Below are 9,627 nucleotides of genomic sequence, written 5' to 3'. Positions count from 1 at the left end.
AGTGCCTACCTGCACGATGGGGTGTCCTCCGGCCGACGCCTTCACGGCCCCCCGGCTGCCCTCCGTCTCGTAGTGGGCTCGGTGGTGGGACTTGGGCTGCACCTCAATCCGAAGCTCATACGGGCCTGAGTGGGACGGCAGCTGCCAGTCCAGGGCGGGCAGGGTCGGGCTGGAAGGGAACAGAGCAGAGGAGGCGTTCAGCACCACACAGACCTCGCCCGGGCCACACGTGCCCGTGCTCACCCGTCGCCATCTTGGGTGGACACTTCATCGGCGAGTGCACGTCCTGACATGGAGATGGAGAAGCCTGTGTCAATGCAGTGCTTACTCATCGTGACCTGTGGCCACGGCCCGGCCAGTTCTCTAAGATGGAAACATTTTCCAAGCACAACCTTAACACGCTTCTCTTCCTTCATGACAGGCTTCTATCAGTTACTTAACCCTCCAGTAAGACAGGTTTTAGAACTCATTGAAAATCTGTTTTAAAATCTAAGAGGGATGGGCTGTGGCCTAAGAACCAGGAAGCTCAAACCTCTCCTCGCTATGAACCAGCTGTGTGGCTGCCATGAGACAGGTGACTGACTGGGCCCTTTATAAAATAGTGGGTTTGGAAGTTGTGATGTGCGCAGCGCCGCCAGCCCCCAAATTCCATGATTGCTGCAAGACAAACAGAAGGCCCTGACTGAGGGCCAGGAGGAGGGACACGGCGTCCATGGAGGGCGGTGGGAGCAAACGCAGCAGGGCGGGGTACGACGGTGAGGGCTGTGGGAGGCTGTTCGGTTACTTTGCACAGAGGGACACGAGCTGCATGACCTGGCGGGTGACAGGTGCTGGGGCTGTCCTCAGAGCCTACAGCCCAGCTGGGGGCCCCACGGCCCCTGTCTTTTCAGGAGATGAATGTTTGGTGTGAAAGGCTAAGGTGAGGTCCTGCCCGTGCCCTCGGCGTGTCTTCCCAACTGTGTTCTGTAGGAGGCCCAGGCAGACTGTCTCAACACTCCTGGGGGCCACACGGTGCACCCAAGGGGTTCTTGCATCTAGGGGGTGGCCTGCCCCGGTGCACCACCATCCACGCAGGCACCACCTTCCACCCTGTGCAAGAGGCCGGCGCCTCTGCCATCAGAGTCCGTTTCTGGGAGGGCCAAGGCTCTGTGGCCGCTGCAGCCCCGGCCCAGCCTCCTCTCCCGCTCAGTCTGTCTCCCCAGCACTGCCTACTGCAGGGGCCAAGGCAGGCGGAGGATGCGGTGGGACCCTCCCTGGACCAGCACTGCTCATCAGATCAGGTGCAAGACCCTGCGTGGGCAGAGGCAGTCCAGGGCCCAACGGCTGTCCTCACCGCTATGTGGCCAGAGACCCAGGGCCCGCCGACCGTCCTCACCTCCGTGTGGGCAGAGACCCAGGGCCCGCCGACTGTCCTCACCACACAGGCTCACCCCGAGCACCGTGGGCCGGGGCTCCTGAGGTCACCCTCCACACAGGGCCTGTGACTCCCCCATCTTCAGAACCAGCCCCTCTGGCCAGGACTCAATTATTGCCTAGAGCTGCTGACCATCATTCTACGTCAGTTTTAAGTACAAGCCCCAGAGACATGGGACATGCGGGGCAGCTTCTCGAGAAGGGCAGGTTCCATGCGATGCAGTCGCAGAGCAGGGGCATCTGCAAGTTAAAGGAAACTGCCTCCCGAGCCCCCCGAAGGCCCCCACACCTCAGGACACACTGTGAACCCAAAGTGACTTAAAAACAAAACAAGGGCCGGGCATGGTGGCTCACGCCTGTAACCCCAGCACTCGGGGAGGCCGAGGCGGGTGGATCACAAGGTCAGGAGATTGAGACCATCCTGGCCAACATGGTGAAACCCTGTCTCTACTAAAAATACAAAAATTAGCCGGGCGTGGTGGCGGAGGCCTGTAGTCCCAGCTACTCGAGAGGCTGAGGGAGGAGAATTGCTTATACCGAAGAGGAGGAGGTTGCAGTGAGCCGAGATCGCGCCACTGCACTCCAGCCTTGGCGACAGAGCGAGACTCCATCTAAAAAAAAACAACAAACAACAACAAAAACAAGGCCAGTCGCAGTGGCTCATGCCTGTAATCCCAAAACTTTGGGAGGCCAAGGGGAACAGATCACTTGAGCTCAGGAGTTCGAGACCAGCCTGGGCAACATGGAGAGACCCCATCTCTACGAAACAAAAAATAAAAACATGAGCAGGACGTGGTGGTGCACATCTGTGATCCCAGCCACACAGGAGGCTGAGTGGGGAGGATCCCAGCCACACAGGAGGCTGAGCGGGGAGGATCGCCTGAGCCAGGGGAGGTTGAGATGGCAGTGAGCCAAGATCGCATGTGCTTCAGCCTGGGCGACAGGGCAAGACTCTGTCTCAAAACAAACAAACTAAAAACGATGGGCAGAATAGAAGACTCGTTTAAAGAGGAAAAAGCCCAGGAGGCAGCTTGAATGGAATCAACTACGTAATTTTTAAAAATACAAACACCTAAAATGTTCCTTAGCAAGAACAAGACTACATATTTTGTGACATTGGAAGCTTCATAGTAATTTGAAAACTCAGAAATGGATTTATCCAAAGATGCACCTGGCAGGCTCACCACCCACCTCCGCTCTGTGGGGTTTTGGGCCCTGCGGGTGCCTGCTGGACCCCAACTCAGCCACGACAGCTTCCCTGACAGAGGAATCTCCAAGACGCAGCTTCATGGGCTGTACTGTCAGAGCTGTTTCCCACGTGAGGTGATCAGCATGGACACCCAGTATCAGCTAACGCTGCCAGGCAGAAGGAAAGGCGGCTGGACCCAGGCCTCCACACAGGAAGGACAAGAGCCTCCAGAGAAAGACTTCTCTGCACAGAGCTCGCGGCCAGCTGTGAGTTTCTGGGGAAGGGAGAGGGGGCAGCTGCAGGGCTGGGCAATGAAGGGCCCCTCTGCAGTGGCCACACCTGCTCCTGGACAGGCAGGCACCAAACAAAGTCGCAGATGATGCGAGGCGGTGCCCGTCTCAGGCACCTTGCACCTATCTTTTGCTATGAATTGAAAAAGAAACAAATGAAAAACAAAATTCATGGCCGGGCGTGGTGGCTCATGCCTGTAATCCCAGCACTTTGGGAGGCCGAGGCAGACAGATCACCTGAGGTCAGGAGACCAAGACCATCCTGGCCAACAGGGTGAAACCCCGTCTCCACTAAAAATACAAAAATTAGCTGGGCATGGTGGCGAGTGCCTGTAATCCTAGCCACTTGGGAGGGTGAAGCAGGAGAATTGCTTGAACCTGGGAGGCGGAGGCTGCAGTGAGCCGAAATTGCACCACTGCAATCCAGCCTGGGCAACAGAGTGAGACTCCATCTCAAAACAAACAAACCAAAAACAAAATTCACAGTGAAAAAACTGGGCTCACTGGATTCCCAGGAAAGTTAAGAGACAGAGAAGAGACAGCGAGAGAGAGGAGAGAGGAGGAAAGAAGAAAAGAAAAGCCGCCTCCCCCCACCGCTGGTCTGGTTAAAGGCAGACACATTTCCTAAAGATAAGGCAGTCTAAACCACTCTGCAGCTGACTATTACATAAGAATAAGTTTGTGTAAACGCAGCCACGTGTCACTTTATGACAAGGACACATTCTGAAAAACGCGTCCTTAGGCCATTTTGTCGTCGTGGGAACTCGTGTGAACCGACTCGGTGTGTCCAGTGCACACCCTAGCCACGTGGCGTGGCCCACGGCTCCCCAGTACACGTCTGCACGGCATGTGGCTGCACTGAACACCGTGGGTGACTGCCCCACAGCGGTCACAGTTTGTGAATCTAAACACATTTAAACATGGAAAAGATGCAGTAAAACTACGCTCTCACGATCTCACGAGAACCCTCATAGGTGAAGTCCGCCGTTGACCCGACGCCGCGGTGCAGGACTGCATTTGGCTCTGGAATCATTTGCAGATTTAGTGACACAGTGTGTGCATGGCTTACAGCAAGAATGGTTTACAAAATAAATATCATAATCCAGACAATTAAGATGATTGGTTTTGGTTAGAAATTTTCAGCATGAATTTGGCAGCTCTACAAATCTGTGTCTCTGGTTCAGACAAAAGAGCCCAAATGAGCGGGAAAGGAGCCTGCACTGCTGCGGAGACGGGACCGCTGCTGCCTGCTCTCCACCCCACTCCACTCCGCGTGCTTCCTTCTGGGGGACGACGCCTGGGGCAGCCTCGGGCAGGCGTGCTTCAGTCGGGGGTCTCTGACCAGCCCATCCCCCGGAACGGCAACTCGCTTGCTGAAGCCCTAAGCTCAGGACTGAGATAATTCCAACAACTTCAAACTCATCTTCAACATAAGTCAATTTTTTAAAAAAGTGACACTCAACACAACTGAAAAAATAAAAAAAAAAGCTCGGGTGAAATTTGCATCCAACATCCACCTGGTCTGGATGGTGACCGACGAACGTCCACCCGGTCTGGACGGTGACCGACGCCCACAGAGCCAAAGGGTGTTTTTCTCTGTTTCTCTCTCTCTCCATTTTTTTTTTTTTTTTTTTTGAGACGGAGTCCCGCTCTGTGGCCCAGGCTGGAGTGCAGTGGAGCCATCTCGGCTCACTGCAGCCTCCGCCTCCCAGGTTCAAGCAATGCTCCTGCCTCAGCCTCCAGAGTAGCTGGGAGTACAGGTGCCCACCACCACACCGGCTAATTTTTTGTATTTTTAGTAGAGACACAGTTTCACCATGTTGGCCAGGCTGGTCTCGAACTCCTGACCTCAGGTGATCCGCCCGCTTCAGCCTCCCAAAGTGCTGGGATTACAGGCGTGAGCCACTGTGCCCAGCCCACTGGGTGTATTTCTATAAACATTTTTACAAAATGATACATCTTAAGAAAATGAGACACATAATTTGGTACTTTGTCTTTTCTTTTTCTCTTTTTATTTCTTAGAACAAGGTCTCGCTCTGCTGCCTAGGCTAGAGGGTGTGATCACAGCTCACTGCATTCTCCAACTCCTGGGCTCAAGGGATCCTCCCACCTCAGCCTCCCAAAGTGCTGGGGTTACAGGCACGTATCACCATACCTGGCCTTTTTATAAAAGAAAGATCACATTTTGAGCATTTTAGCTTATTCAGAAACAATCTAATCACAGCATCCCATTTATCACAAGGACCATCCTCATTGTACTGCTGGGCTGTGGGCTGTTCCCCTCTGTTGTTGTAAACGCTGGCAACGCAAACATCCACACAACCAACTCCCAGACCACATCTCCGGTCATGCCCTGAGCGCAGAACCACTGGTCAGAGGCGTGAGCATCGTGAGGCTCCCTGGAGGCACCACAAAGGCCACTGCCAATGGGTCCGGCTCACCCACTAGGGTCCGGGGTGCGCTTGGTCTTTGCCAATGTGATATATCAAGGCAGTTTTCTGGCCTGCTGTTTGCATCTTTACACGATAGTTAAAAACACCAGTGCAAGACTGAAAACAACACATTATATACAAATAATAAAAACAAACACTTCTAAACCAGCAGCGGTAAAACTTCTACAACATCCCCTTGATTTATTTCCTGTTTCTCACTAAAGACACCACAGGGCCTGGCTGACCTTCCAGCCTGCCCACCGGCCCGAGGCCGGCCCCCGCACCGCACAGAAGCCAGACGTCCAGGCCCCCCCAACCCACCGCACAGAGGCCAGCTGTCCAGGCCCCCCGACCCACTGCATAGAGGCCAGTCATCCAGCGCCTGCCCCCACTGCACAGAGGCCAGTCATCCAGCCTCCCCGACTACATAGAGGCCAGCCGTCCAGCACCCCCCCGCCACCCACTGCACAGAGGCCAGCTGTCCAGCCCTGCCACCACACAGAGGCCAGCTGTCTAGCCACCCCCCTCCCCGACTCACTGCACAGAGGCCAGCCGTCCAGCTCCCCCTACACCCACCCCACAGAGGCCAGCCATCCAGCTCCCCCCGACCCCTGCACAGAGGGCAGTTGTCCAGCCCCCTCACTGCACAAAGACCAGCCGTCCAGCACCCCCCCACCCACTGCACAGAGGCCAGCCGTCCAGCACCCCCCCAACCCCACCCACTGCACAGAGGCCAGCCATCCAGCCCCCACACCACACAGAGGCCAGCCGTCCAGCCTCCACCGCACAGAGGCCAGCTGTCCAGCTCTCCCCCACCCGCTGCACAGAGGCCAGCCATCCAGCTCCCCCCGACCCACTGCACAGAGGCCAGCCGTCCAGCTCCCCCCACCCACTGCACAGAGGCCAGCCGTCCAGCTTCCCCCGACCCACCGCACAGAGGCCAGTGGTACAGCCCCCACCCACCGCACAGAGGCCAGCCGTCCAGCTCCCCCCCACCCACCGCACAGAGGCCAGCCATCCAGCTCCCCCCAACCCACTGCACAGAGGCCAGCCGTACAGCACCCACTGCCACACCAAGGCCAGCTGTCCAGGGAAGTTCACTGTTGCACATGCTGGCAAATTGGGCATATACTGGTCCCCCTTCCCTGGGTCCATTCCACACAGTCCATAAAGTAAAACCTTGTGATTTCACAGACAATGGGACGTGGGTCTTGAAAACTTTACGTGAAGGACAACGTCACGGCATGGCACAGAGACATCGGACACGTGGGTACACGAAGGGCTGCAGCCCCGGGCCCCCCTGCCAAGACGCACTTAACCTAAGAACCCGGGACATGCTCCCTCCTCAATGGCCACAGCCGCACCCAGAGCCCAGCTCATGTGGCCACAGCTTCTGCCGTGGCTGCTGCAGACATGGAGCCCCCACCATTCCCAACCCATGCCGGCAGGCTTCAAGCCAAGGACCTGTTTATCCTGAGCTCCTGCAGAGCTTCCCTGATGAGTCTGGAGAGTTAAGAAGGTCCTAGGCAAAATGCAAGGCGCTCCCGGCAGGATCCTCCTCCTGGGGCCTGGGGCCAGGGCATGGTGGCTGCTATGGGGCAGCCCCGGGGGCCGGGTGGGGCATTGCCTCCCCCCAGCTTCCCGCGAATCTGCAGTGGCTGCAGAATCAAGTTTAAAAATGCTTCTCACTGAGCCAGATGCAACCTCCACACCCGCAGCAACACCCAGAGAGGCTGCAGCTGAGTCACAGGGGGGTCCGGGCTTCCCGCCCCGGCAACACTCCCCAGGACTCCTGTGTTTGCCGCCCCTCTGGGGGTCCGGGGACGGTGCTCCCATGGAGGTGGACACCAGGGGGCCCAGAACTGCCGAGTGTGAGCCCACAGGTCAAATGGAAACACCTGCCAGGCCCTGCGAGTCCCGACACGGGTCCCACAGCAGTGTGGCTCGTGGCTCAGGTCCTGCTGTCCTCACGCTGCGGTGGAAGCGGCATGGGACGTGGCATGGAGGACAGTGGCCCCCGTGGCCTGGGGAGCCGGCCACACAGTCCTTTCCACGGGAGGAGCCGTTCATGCCCCTGAACCTGTGTCTCCCTCGCCTGGGAAGGGCGTGAGGGATTTTTTTTCAGCCGAAAGCTCGCGACAGAGATGCCGTCTGCGCTGGGACAGAGGGGGAGGAAAAAAAAAAAAAGACATATCCTGAAATGATCACTGTCTGATTCTCAATCGCAGGATTATCGAATTCTTTTTTCTGAGACAGGGTCTCGCTCTGTCACCCAGGCTAGAGTGCAGTGGCCTCACGGGATCCTCCCACCTCAGCCTCCCGAGCAGCTGGGACCACAGGCGCACCACCACACCTGGCTAATTGTTATATTTTGTGTAGAGATGGGGTCTCTCCATGTTGCCCAGGGCGGTCTCAAACTCCTGGGCTCCAGCGATCCTGGTGCCTCGGCCTCCCAAAGCGCTGGGATTCCAGGTGTGAGCTGCCACGCTGGTGCAGGACTCATTTATCGTGGTTTATCTGTGTTTAAAAGTCTTCTACAGTGAACGGTGTTTGTTATTTGTACAACCAAAAAAATGAGAAACTTTGCTCTGCTCTCAGGTCTTGTGTCTCAACCTCTGCCCAGCTCCTCCCCCGCCCACCTGGTGAATGGGCTTCAGTTTCCAAAGAGCTGAGCCTGAGGCCCTGCCATGTCCCTCTCCCTTAGAAAGGCCACGTCCCCAGCATCTGAAAACACTCTCCTCATGAGTCGCCCCGACTCCGCCGGTGAACGATGAGAATCCCGGAATCGCGCCCTCGGCAGCAGAAGCCCAGAGCAGAGGCAGTTCCTTTGTTTAAGTGGTTTGGGTAAAATCCTTTAATTCTGATTTTCCGAGGGTTAAAGCCCGCACGTGCTCATTGCTTAGGTGAAAACCGTGAAGGCTGCTCATGACTCCTGCAGTTTCCAGACAGACGAAGCGACAGACTCTGAACTCGGCAGGGCCACACCCGCCCACAGGACTCCACAGGAGCAGCTTCAGGAGGGCGAGGGTTTCAGGGTCCTCCCGCAGCCCTCCTCAGCCGGCAGCCGCGGGCCTCATGGCCATTTGGTTGTGTGACGGCTTTTCCCTTAGTTAAAAGAGAAAGAGAGTAAGAAAGAAAGACAGACAGAGAGAGAGACAGAGACAGGGAGAGAAACAGAGAGACAGAGACAGGGAGAGAAACAGAGAGACAGAGACAGGGAGAGAAACAGAGAGACAGAGACAGAGAGACAGATGGAGAGACAGAGACGGAGAGAGACACAGAGAGGCAGAGACAGAGAGAGACAGAGCGACAGAGACAGAGAGATGGAGAGACAGAGATGGAGAGACAGAGAGAGAAACAGAGAGAGAAACAGAGACGGAGAGAGAGATGGAGAGAGATGGAGACAGAGAGAGAGACAGACACAGAGATAGACACAGAGAGACAGAGAGACAGAGACGGAGAGACAGACACAGAGAGGCAGAGACAGAGAGAGACACAGAGAGACAGAGCGACAGAGAAATGGAGAAACAGAGATGGAGAAAGAGACAGAGATGGAGAGACAGAGAGAGACAGAGAAACAGAGACAGAGATGGAGAGAGACAGAGAGACAGAGACAGACAGACACAGAGAGTCAGAGACAGAGAGACAGAGAGAGACAGAGAAACAGAGACAGGGACAGACACAGACAGAGACGGAGAGAGACAGAGACAGACACAGAGAAACACAGAGAGACAGAGACAGGGACAGAGACAGAGATGGAGAGACAGAGACGGAAAGAGAGACAGAGAGACAGACGGAGAGACAGAGAGACAGACGGAGAGACAGAGAGAGACAGAGAAAGAGATGGAGAGACAGAGACAGAGAGAGACAGAGACAGAGAGAGAGACAGGGAGACAGAGATGGAGAGACAGACAGAGACGGAGAGAGACAGAGATGGAGAGACAAAGAGAGAGAGAGACGATCAGCGCATTTCTCCGACGTGAGGCAGCCTCTGGGTCTTCTGGGCTTGTGTGTCTGGAGCTGCCCCAAGACCACACAGTGGCCAGCGGTCAGAGGCTCCTCGGAGGCCAGCTTTGCCCCCTGACCTGTGCCGGCAGAACTCGGCCCTGAGAAAGTTTTGCCCGCCCAGGAGAGGTCGGCCTTCCTGGAGGGCAGCCCGGAGCCCGGCCTAAAGAGGCCAGGTGGGCCCGCACACGCCGCGTTTCTCGGTGATAGTGCGGCGGCATCTGTGCGTCACCCCCGACATGATTCCCGACCTCTGGCTGGGCCTGGCCGCTGGACGCAGCCTTCACCCTCCCACAGC

At 56.4% G+C, this 9,627-nt stretch overlaps 1 protein-coding gene across 12 annotated transcripts in view; it reads right to left on the bottom strand.

The window, feature by feature from the left end:
• The window catches only part of NFATC1 (nuclear factor of activated T cells 1), a 133,394-nt gene that overhangs the window by 95,576 nt on the left and 28,191 nt on the right, over positions 1–9,627 (bottom strand). For all 12 annotated transcript variants that reach the window (NM_001278669.2, NM_006162.5, NM_001278670.2 and 9 more), the window contains one exon: positions 10–169. In NM_001278669.2, coding sequence (NP_001265598.1) covers positions 10–169 — 160 coding nt within the window. The remainder of the gene's footprint in view (positions 1–9; positions 170–9,627) is intronic.

The sequence above is a fragment of the Homo sapiens genome, chromosome 18 (assembly GCF_000001405.40).
Source record: "Homo sapiens chromosome 18, GRCh38.p14 Primary Assembly".
Lineage (NCBI taxonomy): Eukaryota > Metazoa > Chordata > Mammalia > Primates > Hominidae > Homo > Homo sapiens.
The sequence above is the reverse complement of the archived record's forward strand: the minus strand, read 5'-3'. Positions and strand labels throughout refer to the sequence as shown.